This window comes from Homo sapiens, unplaced genomic scaffold (assembly GCF_000001405.40).
Source record: "Homo sapiens unplaced genomic scaffold, GRCh38.p14 Primary Assembly HSCHRUN_RANDOM_CTG11".
NCBI classification, from domain to species: domain Eukaryota; kingdom Metazoa; phylum Chordata; class Mammalia; order Primates; family Hominidae; genus Homo; species Homo sapiens.
In genome coordinates, this window is record NT_167214.1 from 33989 (window position 1) to 57129 (window position 23141).

Genomic DNA, 23141 nt, shown 5'->3' on the forward strand with positions numbered 1-23141 from the left:
CTACCAGAAACAGATACACTGAAAGATTGAGAAGAAGCTTTTATTCTCACTGTGAGTCTTGCCCTGTCTCACCATCTTCTCTAGAAGTGCAATGTTCTAACTATTCCTGAGAGACTTCATCTCAGGTAGCTCTCTCTGACAACATAATTGAGAAGAGAAACGAGCAAGACTCAGATTATTTTGAAGGCTTGTCTAGGGTTCTTACATGATTTATGTCTCCAATTTATGTCAATATTGACAAATATAGATTCATCTCTAGATGGTAGAAAAACAGAAGGAGGAGCCTCTGCTCACAGAGAAAATAAAAGATGAATTCAATGTTTTGTAGAGCCAGCTTATTTTAAACCATGGGGCATTTAATCTTTTTAGAAAAAAACAAAAGCAATAGGGTTTTTTGTTTTTGTTTTTGCTTTTGCTTTTGTGTTTTCGTTTTGGTTTTTTTTTTTTGTTTGTTTTTTCCCTGAAGCAACTCAACTGTGGCCTCAGACAACTGGGCACTGAGAACGCATGCTCCTCACTAGAATTTCATTACTACATTGCAGAGAAATGGGATAATTACAAAGGATTTTTTTTTTTTTGAGATGGAGTCTTCCTCTGTCATCCAAGATGGAGTGCAGTGGCATCATCTCAGCTCACAGCAACCTTGGTCTCTCAGGTTGAAGCAATTCTCCTGCCTCAGCCTCCCAAATAGCTGGGACTACAGGCATGTGCCACCTTGCCTGGGTAATTTTTATATTTTTAGTACAGACTGGGTTCCACCATGTTGGCCAGATGGTCTCGATTTCCTGACCTCGTTATCCACCCTCCTTGGTCACCTAAAGTGCTGGGTGTGAGCTGCTGTGCCCAGCCCAAAGGATTCTTAAGGGTGATATGGGGGATGGAATGGAAAAAATAAACTTAGTCTTTGCACTTCCACCTGGTCTAACTAACCCTACTCTCATCCTATCCCAAAATTATTGCCAGACTTTTCTGGAGTGTGCCAGGGGCAATTCAGAAGGAAAAGAGGTTATTCATGCCTATCCATTTCCCATAGCTCCTGAGATCTAAGTCGTTCACTCCCCTGGTTTCAGGTTGTTGCTCCCCTTCTATATCCTCAGAATTAATGTGATCCATTCCAATACTTATAATTGTACCTTTATCTGATCCCCTCCTATTTTGCTGTAGACATTTTATGTAGTAGATCCAGTTGTAATAGAGACAAGAATGTTTATATACACCATAATCAGAACTAAATTGGAGTTCCATAACCCCTTTTTTGACTGGGCTGCTACTCAGAAATCATACAAACCAGGCTGCCTGGAGGTTGCAGTTAGGAGAAATCACATCTTGCCCAGGAATGTCAGTGTGGAAACTCAGATTTGGAAAATAGATTCCTATAGCCCCAATCATTTTGCAACACTTCTGCAGAGTTAAAAGAAAGCCAGTATCTAACAGAAAATCTTGAGCTTGCAGAATAACAGAAAAGAAAAAAAAAACAAAAACACAACTTGCCAAAACACTGAAACTCCCTCTACTTATGAAATAAACAAACTGGCTTAAATTGGTGGAATCATTATGGCCAAATGGTGTTTTGGCAGAATCACCTTGCTGAGGTCACCGTCTGAATTTTCACTGCCTGTTTCATCACAACTCCCCTTCAGTTTGCCTATGACATCCATGAGGAGGCAATGAGCTTGAGAGTAACGTTTCAGTATAAAATTGCTTTCTCTTAAAAACCTGATGTCATAGTATTGGCTTCTAGCACTTCAAGAAGTGAGCTCCTTTTACTCAATAACAATGTTATCTATATCTTAGAGACAGTCAACAGGAGATAATCTCTTCTGGGACCAAAGAAGGTGACTAATAAACCATTTAATCAACACATTACCTAACCAAAAGCTGTGGACCCTGATGAGGAAAATAAGTTAAAATGAGACTATTGGCTCATTTTAATAGATATGGTGATAAAAGCAAAAAAAAAAAAAAAGAGAGAGAATTTAAGCGGTCTCAAATACCTAAAAGATGACATGGATTAGCTTCAAGTAACACATAATGTGGCTGGAGTCAGCTGATCTTTATGCTGAAAGTGTCAACAGTAGTGACAAATACTTCAAGTAACGGGTCAAAAGTCTAAGACAGTCATTCTGCCAGAAATGGTCTGGGACTTCCCCATACATGGGACACGTAGATCAACTTTCTCCAAGAACCACCAACCTGGCATGCAGTGATGACCTCTGCAGTAGACAGGGATTTAGGCTTGATTGTTGTTCATCTCTTTGGAGACATAACCCTAATTGTGAACTTCTAAATTAATGGCCTGACAATTAGATCAGCAGCTAAGATAAATTTCAGTTTGCAGCCCCAAAGAAGATGTTCTTAATTAGACAGTTAATCATTTTCAATATGGAAGCCTAAACACGTAGAATGTGGCAATAACCCGGAACTCTCAGTTCTGACAATTGAGTGAAGTAATCACCCCAGATTCAGGTTCTTCATTGGCTGACAATGAGATCAAACACCCACACCAGCCCAGTGAACACCATGAGGTGTCATCTTCCCTGGCCCATTAGTGAACCAGGAACAGATATTTAGAAAATATTCAGTAAATTGGGGAGTCCCACAGAGTCAGAAAGTTTGCTTGAGATAGTGGAGGGTGGCATAAAATTTCTACCGAATATGAATTTTAATTTTTACTTTAGTGCCGTTTCTATTTTAGTCTAATTTCCTTCTAGAATATGTTATTTCTATTTACCAAGTGGCCTCCTGTGGTCTTTTTCATAGAGTTCAAATCGACCCATCTAAAAACAGAAAGATCAAGCTAACGACCTCCCTCAGGGGTCAGAATTCAGTTTCACAGCTCTGTAGCAAGCTCATTGTTGACTTACAAATTAGTGTAACCAATAGTAACGTCATGGTGACCATAACTCCAACATCCCAAAAAGTACCTCAAGTTAGAGGCTGACTTCATTTATCAGAGGATTCAAATGGCAAAATCAAGCTTTACTAGATCACTGGATTACTGGAAGAAGTGAGCAATGCGAATCTGCAATATAGTTTCACTAAACTTTAATAGGACAGCAAGACTGTAGATATTTTAGCCCTCTCAAAATATGAATCTTCTGATCCTTTCATCTAGAATCTCTATGTGTGCCATAAAGTCCTAACTCTGCTTGTGCCTATACTTTCTGTTCATGCAGAGATTAAAAGACAAACAGGTGGGAGCTTAGTGTTTTAGCGTTTTTCCTGAGAATCTGTCTAGCCTAGAGCATCCCCATTTTTTTCTAGATTCCAAGGAGTACTATCACTATCCTAATTCTCAGTGTCTTGTTTCCAAGTATTTCCTCCTACGATTGTCAGCGTGACTACCTTTTTACCCCACTGATAGTGTTTGCTCCAGGTGAACTGGGTAGTTCATTTTTATTTAAATGCTTCCATAAGCGTTAAGCTATTAATTTAAGATTTCTTTGTTTTTTATAAAGTAATTCTGCTGTTTCCCTCAGAGCTCAACTTTCACTAAGTCTCATAAATTTTATTATGTTTTGTCTAAATGTCTATTTATGTTAAAATATTCTCTGACACTATTTGTACATTTTTTATTCATTAATTATTTAAGATTGTGTCATTTAATGCACACATGTTTGCATTTCCCAAATTTCTTGCTTTTTTGGTCTCTAATTTTCTCTTTTGTGATTAGAAAACATTCATTTTATTATTTCAATCTTTCAATTTTATTGATTTTTTTTATGATGCAGCATATTCTCCATTCTAGAGAATGTTCTATGTGCATTTGGGAAGAATATATATTCTGATTTGGGGTGAAGAGTTCTCCATATATCTCTAGTTTTATTTGGTTTATGTTATTCATGTCTTCTATTTCCTTGTTTCTCTTATGTCTAGTTCTTCTACCCAATAGTGTAAGTGGGGAAGTGAAGCTTGCAATTTTTATTGTTGAAACTATCGTTGCAACTATTTCTGCCTTTATTTCTATCAGTTTTGCTTTATGTACTTCTGTGAACTTTTGTCACATTCATATATGTTAATTTATTTTCCTCATGAATTTATCCTTCTAATTATAATCTATCTTCATCTCTAGTAATAGTATTTGTTGTCTTAAAGTATATCCTAATTTTTTGATTTTTGGTTTTTCTGGGTGCATAGTAGGTGTATACCTTTATGAAGTATATAGAATATTTTGATACCGTCATACAATGTGTAATAATTACATCAGAGTCAATGGGGTATTCATCACATGCAGTATTACTATTGGATTTCAAATAACCAAATTATACAATTTCTGTTATTTTAAAATGTACACTTAAATTATTCTTAACTAGAGTCACCTTGTGCTGTCAAATGCTAGAACTGATTCATTCTTTCTAACTATATTTTTATACCCATTAACCATTCCCACCTCCCCGCCCTCAACCTTCTACTACTTCTCTCAGCCTCTGGAGACCATCATTCTACTCTTTATCTCCATTAATTCTTTGGTTTTAATTTTTAGCTTTAACAAATAAGTGAGAACGTGTGAAGTTTGTCTTTCTATACCTGGCTTATTTCACTTAATAAAATGACCTTCAGTTTAACCCATGTTTTTACAAATGACTGAATCTCATTCATTTTTATGTCTGAATAGTACTACATTGTGTATATGTACCACTTTTTTGTTTATTCATCTGTCGATAAACACCAATGTTACTTCCAAATCTTGGCTATTGTGAATAGTGTTGCAGTAAACACAGGAGTACAGCTATCACTTCAATACACAGATTTTTCTCTCTTTTGGATATATACCTAACAGTGAAATTGCTGGATTGTACAGAAGCTCTATTTTTAGTTTTCTGATGAATCTTCAAGCTGTTCTCCATAGTGGTTCCACCAACTTACATTCCCACCAACAGCATATGAGGGTTCCCTTTTCTCCGCATGCTTGTCAGCATTTGTTATTGCCTTTTAGCTAAAACCCACTTTAACTGGGGTGAGGTAATAGCTCATTGTAATTTTGATTTGCATTTCTCTGATGATTCATGATGTTGATCATCTTTTCATATACCTATTTGCCATTTGCGTGTCTTTATTGGAGTAATGTCTGTTTACATATTTTGCCTATTTTTTAAAATAGGATTATTAGATTTTATTTTCTATAGAGTTATTTGAGCGCCTTCTATGTTTTGGTTACAAATCCATTTTCAGATAGGTAGTTTGAAAATATTTTCTTTCATTCTGTGGGTTGTTTTCTCACTTTGTTGATTCTTTTCTGTGCCATGCAAAATTTTATAACTTGGTGTGATACCAATTTTCCATTTTGCTTTGGTTGCCTGTGCTTGTGAGGTGTTACTCAAGAAATCTTTGCTTAATCCAAGGTTTTTTAGAATTTCCCCAATGTTTTCTTTCAGAAGTTTCATAGTTTGCAGTTTTACATTTAAATATTTAATCCATTTTGATTTAGTTTTTGCACATGGCAAAAGATAGAGGTCTAGTTTTATTCCTCTGCATATGGATATCCAGATTTACCATCACTGTTTATTGAAGAGACTGAGTTTTTATTCTTAATATATTTTCTTGGTGCCTATGTAAAAAATGAGTTCACTGTAGATGGATGGTTTGGTTCTGGGTTCTCTATTCTGCTCCATTTTCCTGTGTGTCTGTTTTTATGCCAGTACTATGCTGTTTTGGTTACTACACATCGGTAGTATAATTTTGTGTAATGTAATAATGTATGCTATGTAATGGGATTCCTCCAGTTTTATTCTTTTTGCTCAGGATAGCTTTAGCTATTCTAGGTCTTTTGTGATTATATATAAATTTAAGATTTTTTAGAGCTGTTGTATTTATTTGTGTGAGGAATGTCAATGGTATTTTTACAGAAATTGCGTTGAATCTGTAGCTTGCTTTGTGTAGCATGGACATTTTAATATTGATTCTTCCAATCCATAAACACAGAACACTGACTAATACAATCTGCAAATGGGTAGTTTGACTTCCTCTCCTCTTATTTGAATGCCTTTATTTTTTTCTCTTGTCTGATTGCTCTGGCCAGGATTTTCAATACTATGTTGAACAGGGCTGGTAAGAGAGGGCATCTTTGTCTTGTGCCAGTTTCCAAGAAAAATGCTTCCAGTTTCACCCATTCAGTATAAAGTTGGCTGTGGGTTTGTCATAGATGACTTTTATTATTTCAAAGCATGTTTCCTCAATACCTAGTATATGGAGAGTTTTAACATAAAGTGGTTTTGAATTTTAATGAAAGCTCTTTCTGCATCTATTACAATAATCATGAGGTTTTTGTCTTTCGTTCTGTTTGTATTATGAATCACATTTATTGATTTGCATATGTTGAACCAACCTTGCATCCCAGGGAAAAAGCCTACTTGATTGTGGTGGATAGGCTTTTTGGTGTGCTGCTGGATTTGGTTTGCCAGTATTTTATGGAGAATTTTTGCATCAATATTCATCAAAGATATGAAATTTTTCTTTCTTTTGCTTTTCTTCCAGGTTTTGATATCAGAAGGGTGCTGGCCTCATAGGATGAGTGAGGAAGATGATCCTCCTCAAATTTTTGGGAGTTTCAGTAGGAATGATACCAAATTCTTCTTTGCATATCCAGTAGAATTTGGCTGGGAATTCGTCTTTTCCTGGGCTTTTTAAAATTGATAGTCTATTTATTACAGATTCAATTTTGGAGCATGTTATTGGTCTGTTCAGGGATTCAATTTCTTCCTGGTTCAGTCTTGGAAAGGTGTACATGTCCAGGAATTTATCTATTTGTTCTAGGTGTTGTAGTTTTTTTGCATAAAGGTGTTCATCATATTCTCCGATGTTTATTTCTATTTCTGAGGAGCCAGTGGTAATATCCCGTTTGTTGTTTCTGATTGTCTTTGTTTGGATCTTCTCTCTTTTCCTCTATATTAGTCTAGCTAGTAGTCCACATTTAAAACAAAACCTACTCCTGGATTCATTAATCTTTTAGTTTTTTTGTGTGTGTCCTAATCTCAGTTTATCTCTGATTTTGGTTATTTCTGTCTTCTTCCAGCTTTGGGGTTGGATAGCTCTTCATTCTCTAGATGTTTTAGTTGTGATATTGAGTGGTTAAATTGAGATCTTTGTTACTTTTTGTGGTGGGTGTTCAGCAACATCAGTTTTTTTCTCAACACTGATTTAGTTGCATCTCAGGGATTCTGGTAGGTTGTGTCTTTGTTCTCATTACTTTCAAATAACTTTTTGATTGATGCCTTAATTTCATTATTCACACAAAAGTCATTCAGGAGTGAGTTATTTAATTTTTATGTAATCATATGGTATTGAGTATTGGTTTTCTCAACTTTTACCTCCAATTTTACTGTACTCTGGTCTCGGAGAGTGGTTGTCATAATTTGAATTCTTTTATAATTTCTGAGAACAGTTTTATGTCGATTAAGTGGTTGATTTTAGAGTATGTGCCATGTGGCAATGAGAACGTATATGTTGTTGTTTTTGGTGGAGAGTTCTGAAAGTGTCTGTTACATCCATTTGATCCAGTGCTGCATTCAGATCTTGAATATCTTGTTAATTTTCTGCCTTAATAATCTAATATTGTCAATGGGTTGTTGAAGTTTTTCACTATAATTGTGTAGGAATCTAAGTCTTTTTAAAGACCTCTAAGAACTTGCTTTATGAATTTGGGTGTTCCTGTGTTGGGTGTGTATATATTTAAAATGTATATATTTAAATATGAATACATATATTCTTGTTGAATTTAACCCTTTAGCATTTTGTAATGCCTTTTTGCCTTTTTAAATCTTTGTTGTTTTAAAGTCTGTTTGTCTAAACTTAGGGTTGCAACCCATTCTTTCTGCTGTTTTCCATTTGCTTGGTAGATTTTTATCCCGTCATTTTCAGCCTATGAAACTGATTGCATGTGAAATGAGTCTTGATGACAGCATATCATTGGTTCTTTGTTCTTTATCCAGTTTCCCACTGTTTGCCTTTTAATTGGAACATTCAGCCCATTTACATTCATAGTTAGTGTTGATATGTGTGCATTTGATGCTGCCATTATAATGGTAGCTGCTTATTATGCAGACTTGTTTGTGCGCAACTGGTCTGTATACCTCAGTGTGTTTTTTTAGTGGCTAATAAAGGTTTTTTTCACCTATATTTAGTTCTTCCTTCAGGAGCTCTTGTAAGGCATGTCTTGTAGTAATGAATTTCCTCAGCATTTGCCTGTTTAAAAAGAACTTTATTTCTCCTTTACTTATGAAGCTTAGTTTGGCCAAATACGAGATTGTTGATTGGAATTTATTTTCTTCAAGGAGGTTAAATATTGGTATTGGTCTCTTCTGGCTTGTAGGATTTCTGCTAAAAGGTGTACTTTTACACTGATAATCTTTCCTTTGTGGTTGACCTCCCTTTCCTCTCTAGCTGCATTTGTCATTTTTTCTTTTATTTCATGCTTGAACAATCTGATAACTATGTGTTTTGGTGATTATTATATTGTGAAGTATCTTACTGGAGTTTTCTGCATTTCCTAAATTTGAATGCTGGCCTCTCTAGCCAGCATTCCCCAGGTTGGGGAAGTTCTCATGAATGATATCCTAAAATATGTTTTTCAAATGGCTTCCATTCTCCCCACCTGTTTCATGAACACCAGTGGGTCATACCTTTGGTCTCTTTACATAATCTTATATTTTTCAGAGGCTTGGGGGTTTTTATTACTCTTTTTTATTTCTGTCTGTATGTCTGACTTCACATAAACAGTCTTCAAACTTTGAGATTCTTTCTTAGCTTTGTCTATTCTACTATTAATAGTTGTGAATTTCTTATAAAAAAATTTAGTGTGATATTTTTAGCTCTCTCAGGTTAGTTATGCTCTTAATACTGGCTCTTTTGTCTCTCAGCTCCTGTATCATTTCATTATGATTCTTAACGTTTTTGAATTGAGTTTCAAGTTACTTCTGCATTTTAATGATCTTTATTTCTATTCATATTCTGAATTTGATTTCTGTAATTTTAGCTATCTTGGACTGATTTATAAACTTACTGGAGAGGTAGTGTGGCCATTTGAAGGAAAAGAGGAACTCAGGTTTTTTGAGTTGTCAGAGGTTTTGTGCTTGTTCTTTCTTATCTTTCTGGGGTGATATTTCTTTAATATTTGAAGTTGTCAACTTTTGGATTTTTCCTTTTATTCTGCTTGATGACCTTAAGGGTTTAATTGTGTTATAAGGTTGTCTCAGTCGAGTGGTTTTGTGTGTATTCATGTAGGCGAAGGTGGCTGCTCAGGGCTGAGGAGAGTATGCTGTTTTTTGTGCTTAGTTGTACTCAAATGACAGTGTTGACAAAGGAGGACGGTGCTGGTGTTGTGGGGCTGATGGTCTCTGTTTCCCCCAAGATTCTGTCTGCAGTGGTGGTATAGCAGGAGAGGGGGCCTGGAGTACACTCCTACCAACAGCAGTGCCAGGGCAGAATGCATATGCACATGTGCACTGACAGGGCAGGGAAAGCAAGATCCTTCCATGCACACACACACACACACACACACACCAGCATAGTGATGTGTGGGGTGGCAATGGGCCTTGGGGGGAAGCTGCAGTGAGGAGAGAGAGCAGGCAGGCTGATGCCTGGATGGGGTCACCCCACTGGAGCTGTCTACTAGTCAGACATGATCTGCCAGTTCAGGATCTATGATGCAGGCCCCCAGGGTACTCAAGGCTGCACTGCAAGCATGCAGGGCCGAATTGGGGTCGCAGGAGAGGCCAGCACACCAACGCAAGCTCAGGTCAAAACAGCCCCATCTGATGGGCCACCACCCTGCAGACTTTTTCTCCAAAATTTCCCCTAGGGCTAACGTCTCTTATGGGAGCAAGTTAAGCTTATTGGTGTGGGCATCCCTGGACATGCTTCACTACACATGTTCCCACAATAAACCCTCTTGGCTGTGCACTGGCTGGTGCGCTGCCCCTGTCACTTCTCTAAGCAGCTCTTCCTTTCAACTCATTTTCCATGATGGTCAGAGGGTCTCTGCCAGTGGGATTCCAGAGGCCAGTCAGGAAAGCAGGTAGCTCCTTGCCACTTAAACTCACCTGTTTTTCTCAGAGTCACTGGGGGCCAGAAATCAGTTCCACTGTGCTTTAGCCCTGTGCAGGGTTCCCAGCTTCTGAATCTTAAGTTCAGATGTTGTGTCTTTCCTCCTTCCACTATCAGTACCTGCCCTCGGTTAAGAGTGTGCCAGTCATCCTGGTCCCTTGGTGTCAGCTGTTCCACCTTGGCTTGTCTATTCAGCCATCTTGCTCAAATACACAAAGTCTTATAAATCAATAATAAATAGACAATTGACTACTTGAAAAATGTGCAAGGAATTTGAATTAAAAATTTCTACAGATAAGAAGCAAAATTTGTCATTAAATTTAAAATATGTGACATTATTAGTTTAGAGAAATGCAAATCAAAAGCTCAATGACATACTTAGTAGAAGACCTGTAAAAGGCAATAAAAAAGGTTGCCAAAGATATCAAAAATATGAAAGCCTCACACATTGTATGTGGGAGTGTAAAAAACAACCGATTTAAAGAACAATTTGGCAATTATTCAAAATGCTATAAATAGTATCACCATATGACTGAGACATTTTACTCTGTTACGTACTCAAAAGAAATGAAAACCTATGACTACACAAAGAATCAGATGTAAATGATCAAAGCAGCAGTATTTGTAATAGCCCAAAGGGGATAAAACCAAAATATCCATCAAATAATAACAGAAAAAATAACGTGTGGTGTGTCCATACAATAAAATACTATGTGCCAAACAAAGAAAATGAAGTAATAATACCTGCTATGTCAGGAAAAAACCTCAAAATCACTAAAGTAAGTAAAATAAACCAAATGCAAAAGGGCAGATAATTTATGATTTCACTTAAAATAACTTTTAATAAAAGGCTTATATATAAAAACAGGCTAATGATTGCCTATGACCAGGGTAATGAAATCAGTAAGTACAAAAGAGATTAATTTCTTTTTCCATAGTGATAAGGTTATTTCAAAATTAGATTGCGGTTATGGGTGTCTGTAAATACACTTTAAAAACTTGGAATTGTACACTTAAAACATGTGATGGTTTTGTTATAAAATTATATCCCTCTAAAATGTTTCCAAATGAAACTGTTGACTTTTGGAGAACTAAGTCACAGACTGTAAAACCAAACCCATTTATTGTTCATCTCAAGGCATGTTAAATAAAGAGGAAAAGACAAAGATATAGTTATAACATTAAAATCTTCATGGCAAATAGTTATAAGAAAAAAATTACAATTGTAAAATGTATTAATAGACATAAATTACCTGCTTAGATTTAGCAGGCCAGAAATGTAAATTAAATAATAGTACACTATTGAAGACCACTCTGAGTCACTGATTATTAGAAACTTGTTATGATGTCATCATAGGGTTAAAATATTCCTTATCAAAAATGACTCACAGCAAAAATGTTAAATAAAGTGTGTTAGTGGCACCCCTGTCCACAGTTGCTGGTACTTTTAGTGTATGGCCAATTAGAAAGCTGCTCTTTTGTCCCTCATTTGTAACCAATTTCAACACTCAAATTCAATATTGAACTCCTAAATATATTGATAAAACATGTGAGAAGATGTTTGACTTGTTTTATTGTAAAACAAGGCTAATATACAGTATGTGAAAGTTTCCATAAAATTCTTAAATTATATATTTAAAAGATATTATGAAAATAAAAAATCTTAGCAAACATAGGGAGAATTATAAACTAACATTTATCATACATACCCACCACAAGACTTCAGCAATTCTCACATTTTTTATCTTTCATTTTTAATTATCAACTTCAATTATTCTGGTAATATTTTCAAGTAAGCATATTATGTTGTCAGTTTGTAGAAATTTGAGTACCTATATCTAAGAAATAAAGAGAAAAATAAAAATAGTACTATAAAATCTAAGTAAATACAAGTATTTTCTAATATTGTACTAAAGAGTTTCTTGATTCTTTACGTGCAAAACAGTAGAACTTAGCAACCTCCAAGACTTTATGAGAAATAACAATTTAAGACTAATATTTATCCTGGAGACTCAAAGTGACTATAAATAAATATATCTTTAGTTAATAAAGCTTAAAAATAAAGTATTAGTAAAAACACATTTTGAAGATGGCTGACACCTTTGTTACTAGACATGGGGCTTGTGCTGTAAATAACTACTTTAAAAGTCCATGGAAAAGGGATTTTCAACCAAAAAGTCTATAGAAAACAAAAAATTTTGGTTTTTCTGAACTCAGGATGTGAGGCCAGCTTTTAAAGCACGGAATTTAAAAAACCCTCAAGACCCTAAGCTTGATAAGCACGTCACCAGCAGGTCTCATTTTTCAGCTCTGTGCACCAGGTGGCATGTCTAGCAAAATGTCCCCTCTCATGTCAGGTTTTTTCTATGAACTCAGAATGACCACTGTCCCTTAGTATGCAGCCCTGCAGTGGACCCAAAAATGACAATCAATCAGGTCCAGAGTTGCTCATTATGGCCTTTCCAGAATGTAATTATCTAAGGACAATTCTCCCCTTGTAAAATTAAGAAAGTATCAGAATATTTGCCTAATTTTTGATAACATCATACTGTGAGCCACAAAAAAAGCAAGAATTTAAAATGTAAGGGATTACCTGGATCCTAGGGCACAGAAATACACCTCAAATAGAATAGTTTCACACACGATTTTATATGTGGACTTCCTGTGTGGAAGAAAAGAATGTGGGGGTCAATAGTAGAGAAGTCTGTATGTAGTGGAATTTTAAGAAATCAGAGAGGCCGATGGGGTTCAGGAGGGTATTTATTAATTATTTAGGTGCACTGGTCCAGTCGGATTAACATCCAAAGAATGAGTCCTGAACAAAGAGTTAAGTTACCTTTTAAGCATTTCATGGGTGGGGAGAGATTTGTGCAGGGAGAATCATACTACAGAAGCAAGAAACAAAGACAGTTATTCAATTGAGACATGCATTACATTATTTCTTACTTTTCAAGGAAAAACCTGTTTTGTGACTTGAATTTATCTGTCTAGTGACCTTGCAGCTTCACAGCTTGGGAAACAGGGTCTTCACAATCCCTGGGAAAGGAGGAGAGATAAGGATCACTAGCCACAGAAAAACAGGCAGTTAGTTTTTAAAGGACTGCAGCTCTTACTCTTTCTCAACAGAAGTTGGGTTTTCTTACACACAAGTGAGTTTCTGCTTACACACTCTTTAATCTCTTATAATTCCTGTTCCATTCTCCCCATTGGTGCTTTTTATAACAGAGGTGTTAATAGAAAGCACCATTATTTGCCAAGTCTTCATGGAGCTGAGCTTTTTCTTCTTCTGGCGGTGGCTGATATCTGGTTAATGCATCAACTGTACAGTAGTGTTTTGGGCTACCATTGCCTCCATAGTTGACTGAATACTCCTAATAAACAGAGACAAAAGGCAAGGGAGGATAAGGCAGATGCAAAGAATAAGCAAGAACCTACTAATGAGGGTTTAGAATTTTTCAAATGCTGAGAACCATCCTCCAAACAAGGAATCCGGGGACTACCTGGATCAAGTCTGAAGTGGAACCTGGGCCAACTTGTGCATTCTAGCTGTAATTTTTATGACCACTAATATTGATTTCTTGGCTATTGATTTCTAGGCAACAGTTGGTTAAATTAAATTTTCTACATATTCCTCCTTCGGAGGATAAGAGATAATTTAAAGCCAGCCTATTTTGATATATAGCATTTCCTTTTTGTGTTGCTTGTATTGCCAATAAATCTAGTGCCCTCGATATTTCATTGGTTATGATTTGAAGGACTGCCTGCAACTTCATGATGCGGCTGAGGATACAGATTATGGTGCAGTACCCTCATGACCTGTCTTGCACCTAGGTAGCTGGCCCATAGCATGTCATGATTCTTTCAGGAGGTCATTTATTACCTTTTTAGTCTCCTGTGTCCACATCTTTTTTGATATTTTTGTTACTTTTGTGATTATGCTTTTTCTAGTTCTTCTTTTATTTTTATTATAAACTGGATATTCTAAGAATTTCCCTTGCTTTAGAGGAATTAGAAAGAAGGATGGCTTGATTGCTTTTAACAGACACGCCCCTGCCCATTTTGCTGGCAGTTGCCAATATGCCCATGCTCCACAGATCCAATATAGGCCAGAGGGTGCCTTTCAAGCATTTGAATCATCTACCTGATGCCAAGTGCAGCTTAGAGTAAGGAATCCAGAGAAAGTGTTTGGATCTGGTAAGTAGGAGTCATTCTGGGCATTTCTTCATAGAGTTTTGTTTTTAGTCTCGTAATAATACTGTTGCCCTAGGCAGGTTGTTTTTCCTACTGCCTCTGTGAAAGCCTTTCCCCATCGAGTGATACAGTACTTTCCAGTTATGGAGATTTCTAACAATCAAACACTGGCTGAGGCTGTTGGTTCACTGGCAGGGTTAAGCAGAGTGAAGTTATCTTGTGGCATTAATTCCTTTGCCTCCCATTGCCACTCATTCTCCATATTAGTTTCTCTACATACATAGCATGAAGAAATTTTTAAGCTGTCATCTGTGTCTTCAGCTAGTTGAGCAAATAAGTTTTTGGTTGATGGGGGAACCTCGGTCACTGGCTGATCAAAATGTTTACAGAATGACTTGGTATTGAGGGGTTGGATGCATTTGAGTCCTTATAGTATTTTTGACAATTAGTAGTGGAACTCCAAGACCTGCTCCTTGTCTATCAACTCGTAATAGTGCTGTCTGTCCTGTAGACCAAAAAGGTAGCTCTGGCTTTAAGATAGTAAAATTTAAAGGATCGCATGTCCTTGTCTTACAATCTGGTTTTTAGGATTATGAACATACGTGGCATGGCAGTCATCAAAGAAGAAATAGGCCCTTTTTAGAAGGGTGGGATTTCTTTGGTTTGAGCTATAAGCTTTCCTTCTGTTTCTCCCTCTGATTTAATATGTACCTCAAAATAGAATTAATAGGGTAAGAGCCCAGGCTCATAACATACATATAGCTGATTATTTCCTCAGTCACAGACTGAATAGGTGGTCTGGTTGTATGTGCATATTCCTAATTTGCTTCCTGTACATTCATAGTAGGTATGGTACAGTAGAGTTTTAACTGTGGTATTTTTTATCCAGGTAATGTGTACACAGCGTGGACATCCTTCAAGAGATTTGTCCCCTTTCAGTATAAGCATAAATGGTAACAACATTGTTGTATGTAATAGAAACATGCTTACACTACACATGGGCACAAAAACTTTCCTCTGGGCATAGACATTTGCAGCATTTGCAGTAATAACATAACAACGGAACAATCAGTATTGACAGAATTGTAACTATGGTTATAAATTGTATTCACATTTACTTATCTGGACATGGTCCTCTTAGCTTCGGCTGTGTGTACACTAGTCAGCTTCCGGGATGTGACTAGAGCAGAGTTTGAAGAATCCTTAAGCTTCAGCCATGCTTAGACTGACCAGCCTCCAGTGTGGTCAGAGCAGGGCGGTTGTCCTTTTTACCGGTGGCTGAGATTTGCCATAGGGCTATTCGAGTGGGGCAATCTGGGTCTTGTTGGCTAATCCACAGGTTGTCATCAGGACTCGCTACTGTCACTGGTTTTAGATGGCTATGGTGAATCCAAGGTGTGGCACCTGCAACTTTAACAGCAGTGGGAGTAGACATGATTACAATATGGCGCCTATCGTATACGGGTCCTAGAGTGGTTGAATTCCATTTTTTACCTAAACGAAGTCCCTAGGTTTGAAAGGGTGTACTGGGTCTGTTAGACTTATAGGCATTTTTTTACATACTTAACCATGCATTTTAGTATAGCCATACTTAAAGCCTGCATTTGCCTTCTTAAAGTTAGTTTTCCCAATTTACAGAGATTACCCTGAATCTGATTTTTCTGGGGGGTGGGCAGCTGAACAAAATCTCAGAGGGCGAATACTCAGTTTTTTGGTGGGGGTGCACCTGACTCATAAGAGGACCATGGGCAAGACCTGATATTACTTCAGATGAGTTTTTCGACAAAATTTCTTCAACAGCTGCTTGAGTGTCCAGTTTATGCTCTCCACTTTACCTGAGATCTGCTACCTGTAGGCTGTATGTTATTTCCATTTTATTTTTAATAGTCGAGTTAAGTCCTGAACTATTTTAGCCACAAATGTTGGTCCATTCTCTGATCTTAGAGTTAGAGGCAGCCGAAATCTGGAAACAATGTCTCTTAACGCCTTGGTCACGTCTAGTGCCCTCTCTGTCCTGGTGGTAAAGGCCTTGAGCTATCCTGAAAAGGTGCAAATGAACACCAATATGTACTGATAGCCCCCGTCTCAGGGTCATTCAGTGAAGTCCATAAGCAGATTTTCACAGGGCATGGCTCCTTTTTCCTGAACTCCCATGGGCCGAGTAGGATCTTGTCGTGGATTGTTCCGAGTGTAAGTTAAACACAGTTTACAAATGGCCCGAGTAATAGCAATGAGCCATGGCAGATAAAAATGATGCCTTAATAGTGTCTTTATTTTTTTTTTTAATCTGAGTTCGGTGGTGGAATTGTTTTACAAATCTGGGGGTCACCATTTCAGGTATGGCTAGCCTCCCATTGAAGAATTTGTATTATCCTCTTTCAATGTAGTTCTTATTTTCCTGGGGAAGCCAAGCTCTGTTATTTGGAGTGAAGATTGGGATCTCCAGGAGGGGAATCTCCGGGAGGAGAGGCATAGCTAAGGCGTCTTCTTTAGGTGGAGTTGTCATTGCAGCCTTCTTTGCCTCTTTGCCTTCGTATCTTTTTTAGCCCTTAGTGTTCTTGCTTTTTGCTGCCTCTTGCAGGACTTCACTACCGTCACTTTTGGGGCCCATACAGCGTTTAAGAGCTGTAGGATGTCTTCCTTGTACTTTATTTCTTTGTTTCCAGCAGTTAAAAGTCTTCTTTTTTTCTTTGTAAATAACCTTATGAACATGCAAAGTGGCAGAAGCATATTTGGAACCTGTATAAATATTGGTCTTTTGGTCTTTTGCTAGCCAGAGAACTCTTGTCAGAGCTCTTAGTTCTGCTTTCTAATCATGTTTCTGTAGATGAAGACTGCACCTCTACTGTTGAGTCTAAAGTCACCACTGCATACACAGCTTGGCGGGCTCCTTTTAGTATGAAACTGCTTCCATCAGTAGAATATTCAATGTTTGGGTCCCTGAGGGACTGATCTGTCAAATCTCTCTGGCTTGAGAACACTTCATCTACCACGTCCACACCACAATGAAACGGTCCTCCTGGCACTGACTCGATGAGAGTAAGGTAGCCGGATTTAGGGTATTCACAGTCTCTAAAGTTAGTTTACTAGCTTCCTGCACCAGTACGGCAGTGGCTGCTAGTGCTTTAAGACAAGGAGGCCATCCAAGTGCAAAAGAATCTAATTGCCTGGATAAATATGCCACCAGGCGATGCCATGACCTTATGGCTTGAGTCAGAACCCCTATGGCCTCCCTTTCACTTGTGCACATACAAGAAGAAAAGCTTGATTAGTTAGATCTGGCAGTCCTAAAGCTGGGGCCTGAGTCAAGGCTTCTTTGATTTCTTTAAAATCCTTCTCCTCTTTGGCCTCCTAGAGGAGGGGCTCCTTTTTTCCTCCTCTTAGTGGCTTGGTATGATGGCTTGACCATGAGCAAGAAATTTGGGTTGTAAACGCGGCAGAACCTTGCTGCTCTTAGAAACTCTCTTACTTGACACCGGGTGGTTGGAGTAGAAAGTGCACAAACAGCCTGCTTTTTTTCAGGACTAAGCCATCTTTCCTCTTGGCTTATATAAAAGCTTAAATATTAGACACTTTTAGAGGAGATTTGAGCTTTTTTCTGACACTTTTTATTCTGCCTTCTACAGCAGGTGCAGTGGTTCTTGCGTTTCTTCTGCGTGTAGTAGCCCTTGGCTGGTGTGTGTGTGTGATTTTTTGGTTCTGTTTTTTTGGGTTTTTTTGGTTTGTTTTTTGTTTCTTTTACTATTGCCCTGATCATTTTCATTATTTCTTTGACATTTATGCTTCCAGTGTCTTTCCTTTTGCACCATGCACATTAATCTCTCTCTAGCCTCGGCTGGCCTTCACACTCCTGTCCAGACTAGCCTTTTTCATGACTACGTTCACGCCCGCGTCCATGCCTCCTTGTAAAGCCAGCTCCTCTTCCCGGAAGGGCTGCTGCTAGTAAGTTAGCCTTTCTTAAGCCTGTGATCAGCCTTTTCCTTTGCCTCCTCATCTCGGTTAATTAACACCTTGGTTGTCACTTTAATAAGCTGAGTAGCATTCACGCCTACGGAGCTTGTAACTTCTGCAATTTATGCCTGATATCTCCTTGGGTCTGCCTTACAAGTGCTGGATTCACCCTGCACTTATTTTTGAGTAGCCTCAGGGTTAAACGGAGTGTACAATAAAAATGCCTCACAAAGTCTTTCATAGAACTTGCTGTGCTTTTATCTGCACCCTGAAGCATGTCTGAGATTTTTTAAAATATTGATTGCCTTTTTCTTTTACCATCCTTTAGCCTTTGCAGATGGGCTTCTCGGCACCTTTGCAGGTGCTGAATCTGGACTGCATCATCTGGGTCTTAGTGGGGGTCCTCCTGTCCTCTTAAGAGGCATGAGCATATCTTATGCACGACCAGACCTGAGACGGCCTGCCTGATTTTCGCTCTCATTTCACCTTCTCGGGTGAGACTGGCAGCATGTATCCATTTGAACTTAACTCCTTAGGGACAGTTACCTTGGTAAAGGGGGTAGATTGGAATGTAAGGAGGAGCGGTCTCTATTCTTTTCTGTGGTTGTGACAAAACCGGTTTTTCTGCCTTTTCTGAGATTTTTTCATTTGTCTTCAGCTGCTGGGGCAGCTGATTTTACTTTCACTTTTGGCTGGGAGGTGCTACAAGCCTCTGTGTCTCCTTTTAACTCTGTAGCTGCCAGAGCAGCTGATTTTCTCTTGCCGTGAGCTGCGAGCATTCTACAGTAAACTGCTAGGCAGGGCTGCATTCATTTAGCCATGAGTCAATATAAAGACTAGGTCTGAATGTCCTGGCTGTTCTCTGACCCTAGTCACCACCTTAAAACACACGGCCAATTTTTCTATAGTGCCTTTGGCAAGCCATCTGACACTAAAACAGGGCTATTCTAATTCACAGTATGTCCTTAACTTTTGAACACTCAGTTTCATCCTATAATCACCTCTAACTCTTTTTTTAAAATTCTTTATTATGCTTTTCAAAGGAGCCACTTTTGATGTTTTCACTCTCATTTCCTCTCTTGCAGTTCACTTTCACTCTGACTTTCACTCTTGAGTCCACCAGACCTGGTCCTATTGCGGGAGTTTCAGATGCTGCTTAGCCAGGACCATGCCTTCCCCTGTCGCAGACTGCTGCAGCTGTAAAGCTGGTACTATCAGCCATATGAAGCATCTTAGGTCTGATTTTCCCCACATTCGCCTCAGAGCACACAGCCACCACTAAGGGATCTGTGCCTCCCCATGTCGCTGCCCACATTGGCCTCTCCCAATGTAACAGGAAGAGCGGCAGACAAAACCCCTTGGACACTGAGTTAAAGAAAGAAGGTGTTTATTCACCTGGGAGCTTCAGCAAGACTTCTTTCCCAAGAGCTGAACCCTCCGAGTGAGCAATTCCTGTCCCTTTTAAGGGCTCACAACTCTAAGGGGGTCCGCATGAGAGGGTCACGATCTATTGAGCAAGCAGTGGGTATGTGACTGGGGGCTGCATACACTGGTAATTAGAAAGGTACTGAACAGGACAGGGATCTTCACAGTGCATTTTTTATACAAATAACCGATTAGGTCAGGGGTTGACCTTTAACTACCAGGCCCAGGGTGTGGCGCTGGGCTGTCTGCTTGTGGATTTCATTTCTGCCTTCTAGTTTTTACTTCTTCTTTCTTTGGAGGCAGAAATTGGGTATAAGACAATATGAGGGTTGGTCTCCTCCCTTATTTTCCCCCTTTGAGACTCTCACTCATTTTATTAGTGGGAGTTCTCACCTTCTTCCTCACTACCTATGTCTTCCTCTATCACAGATTGATAGTGATTCATGTAGTACACTCGTGCTGAAGCGTTCTGGTGAACTAGAGTTGCCATGAAAACTTTTACCACTTGAATGAGTACAGCTAGTAAGCAAGAGATCAGTAAGCAGGTTCCTATTACTACTATAGTTTCCATTATAAGAGTTTTAAATCCTTCTAGTGCCGGGAACCATTTTCAAACATGGCCTCAGTGTCAAATCGGTGCCACACCTGTACTGGCACATGTGCCAGTTTCATCATGTCTTTAACTATATCTTCGACTACTTGCCCCTGATCATCTATGTGCAGACAGCAAGTGGGCCTAATTACAGTCACTAAATTGGGCCTAATTACAGTCATAATCAATTTACTAAAATAACCAGACAGCAAGACAGGTTTCCAAACATTGGCAAATGTTTCAGGGAGAAAAAAATGCCCCACTAGAGAAGCATGGTTGTATCTCTGTGTGTACATACACACGGGGCCAGGCAGTTCTATGCATGATAGTCTGGGACTGTAAAAGTGACTATGCAAACCTTTACATTCTGTCACAGAACTTACAATTTAAAGTGAGCATCTTTTTCTGTGACTTAGAAATTGACTTTTTTTTTTTAGTTGGGAGCCACTTTTAGCAATTTTCCCTTTGTTGATACATAATAATAGTATATATTTGTGGTGCATGAGTGATATTTTGATACATGCATGCAATGTACAGTGATCAAATCAGGGTAATTAGAATATCCATCACCTCAAACATGGATATTATTTTCTTTGTGTTTGAAAAATTTCCTTTGTGTTGGGAGAATTTAAAGCCATCTCTTCTATCTATTTTAAAATATATTAAAAATTAGTGCTAACTGTAGTTATCCTACTGTGCTGTCAGACACTAGAAATTATTCCTCCTATGATAAAAAGTTTAGGCTGTATCCCATGGGTAGTAGGACACCACATGACTGAGTGGTCATCTGGGAAATTATCTGGATGACTTTGGAACATTCCTGGTTGAGCCAGGTGGCTGTTGCAACAAACTGTGGGGAAGCCCCTCCCCTAATGCCCCCTAAGCCAGCTGTCACTACATGACAGGAAACCTCTAAACCTGAGGGCCCCAGGAAACAATGACAGTCCCCACTCACATGCAACTTGTGCTGTGCTCAGTGCCCTCCACATTGAGCCTGATCTAGCTTTACCCGAGGGCTGTGAGGTGGGACAATCAGTATCCCTTTATTTTAAAAGGCTCAGTGAAGTTTTGGGCTTAATATGAGTGAAGTGATCCTAAAAGCTGACTCTGGGATCCCGGCTCCACCACTGACCAGTCCTGCAGGTGGCGAGAGTTGCCTCTCCTCCCCTCGATTTCATTTTGTCCTCTGTGAAGTGCAGCCGTGCTGATGACTCACATATCAGGGATACATGGGAACTGTCAATGAACGGAGTGCTCTACACAGTGCCTGGAGCTCAGAATGCAGATGAGGGAGGAGGGTGAGCCATAATTCTGAGGGAAGTCCCAACATAATTTAGCCCTTCCATCTAGTAGCCGGGCCCCAGTACAGAGTCCTATGTCAGTGACAGGGCAAACTGAGACCAGCTCAAACACAGCCTCTTCCTCAGCAGCAGGGCCCAACTAAGGCACTTGGTGTTTTGGTTCATTTCCTGCAGCTTCAATGTAAAGAATATTGTGAGACATTTGCTGGAACAACTGAAAATCAGAAGAAGAAGAGACAGCTCTTCTCCATCTCCCTGAGAGCTCTTCCCCAGAATGTGTTTATCCAGAGAGGAGGGGAAATATTTATTTTTCGTAAATAGTAAATGCTAGAGTCGAATATTATATGAAAATCTCATTCTACTACAAAATCGGAGTTGTGGTTGTGGTTCTTTTTATTTCACTTGTGTAAGCTTAAATGAGATACAGACTCTAACATTTCTCCTTGAATTATGAAATCCTAAAGAGTCGGCAGCATAATGTATGAGGAAGAAGAGAAAAGCAGTCATAGTTTCTGGCTGCCGGATAAGACACCCAGGTCCATTTTTCTCAGAGCATATGTTCATTTTAATATTAACCCAAGGAAAGAGTGAAGATAGATCATTCGAACTTGCAGAATTAATAATTTGAAGGTATTTTCACAAAGCATAGCGACAGTCTTGGAAATATAGATTTCTTTAAAAAGCAGTTGCAGAGATCAGGAGGATGAATACCTTTCTATGATTTTACAAAAAATAAATCAACTTCTGCTTCACTTGCTGAGGTTTCCTCTAAGCAACTATTAGAACATTGTTGTTTTTTCTTCCAACTCTGGAGTTGCATCAGGTCTATGTGGAAAAAAACATTATAAAATAAAATGACCAAAGTCAAAAGGAGAAGGCCAGGGAAAGTCTATTGACAATGGATGCAGGGCAGAAAGGAAGCTGCATTCTCAATCTTCTTCTGGTGTCCTGTGATTGAGCCTTTACCTTAGATGTAAATCCTCCCAGAGTTTTGTCTCTTACCTTAGAATTTCTATTCTTTTTTTAAGTTAGTTTCTTATCTAGAATGAAAGAATTGTAATGCCACTTTATGGCTACACCTGGGCCTTATTCTGTAAATATTTTTACTACCTATGAGGTAAAATTCCCAGCATTAGGGCAATTCTTTATCCAATTTTTTCTTTCTGAGACAGAGTCTTGCTGTGTCACCCAGGCTGGAGTACATTGGTACAATCTTGGCTCACTGCGATCTCCACCTCCTGGGTTCAAGAGATTCTGCTGCCTCAGGCTTCTGTGTAGCTGAGATTACAGGCACCCAGCTTCATGTCCAGCTAATTTTTGTACGTTTAGTATGTTTAGTAAATTTTGTATTTTTAGTTTCACTATGTTTGTCAGGCTGGTCTTGAACTCCTGACCTCCAATAATCTGCCCGCCTTGGCCTTCCAAAGTGCTGGAATTACAGGTGTGAACCAATTCTTTTTGAGGAATAAATTACCTAAAGGTCCTCAAGCCTTTCTGTCAGGCATATCTTGGCCTTTTCTCTCTGACTGGGGTCCGATGAATCACAGGTGGGCACTATTTTTCTATATTCCCAACCAGTGATAATCCTTGCTCTCTTTATTTCTAATTAAAAGAAATCCAAAATGGAGATAGTTATTTGA